We start from the raw sequence: 575 nt of genomic DNA, 5'->3' as shown, positions 1-575 counted from the left end.
CTTTTCTGACCCAACGACCTGGGTCTTGCTGTGCTGTGTCATCTGACACTAAGATCGGGTCCTCATTCCAGCCCCAGGGTGAAGCACCAGTGGGGAGGCGTGAAGTGCTTTACACACAGTGACTCAGTGTTTACCCTGAGCCCAGAAGTTACTTTGACCCAGGAGGATAAGATAAACAATCCTGATTTTTATGAGGTGGAAGCTGTACTTTCCTGACACTGGAGAGGTGCCAGCATGGACTTTTCTGACCCAAGGACCAGGGTCCTGCTGTGCTGTGTCATCTGACGCTAAGATTGGGTGCTCATTCCAGCCCCAGGGTGAAGCACCAGTGGGGAGGCATGAAGTGCTTTACACACAGTGACTCAGTCTTTACCCTTTTAGGGAGGTATTGTTGCCATCCCCATTTTATAGATGGAGAGATTGAAGCAGTGACAGTTTGCAAGTCTTACCCAAGGTCATATAGTGGGTTGAGGCTACATTGTCCAATATGGTAGTAACTTGCTGCATGTGGCCACTAATTAAGTACTTGAAATGTGGTCCAAATCCTATTTACAATAGCAAAGATAGGGAATCAA

The 575-nt window shown here is 47.7% G+C and overlaps 1 annotated feature.

Moving 5' to 3' along the window:
- Nucleotides 1-271: a silencer, noted in NCBI's record as "fragment chr19:41426957-41427227 (GRCh37/hg19 assembly coordinates)". NCBI's record gives its function as "represses an EF-1alpha promoter that drives an FKBP-Casp9 reporter gene in an ReSE screen in HepG2 liver carcinoma cells {active_cell/tissue: HepG2}" and the evidence as "EXISTENCE:reporter gene assay evidence [ECO:0000049][PMID:32094911]".

This window comes from Homo sapiens, chromosome 19, assembly GCF_000001405.40.
Source record: "Homo sapiens chromosome 19, GRCh38.p14 Primary Assembly".
NCBI classification, from domain to species: domain Eukaryota; kingdom Metazoa; phylum Chordata; class Mammalia; order Primates; family Hominidae; genus Homo; species Homo sapiens.
Note: the sequence above shows the minus strand (reverse complement) of the source record. Positions and strands in the feature narration are given on the sequence as shown.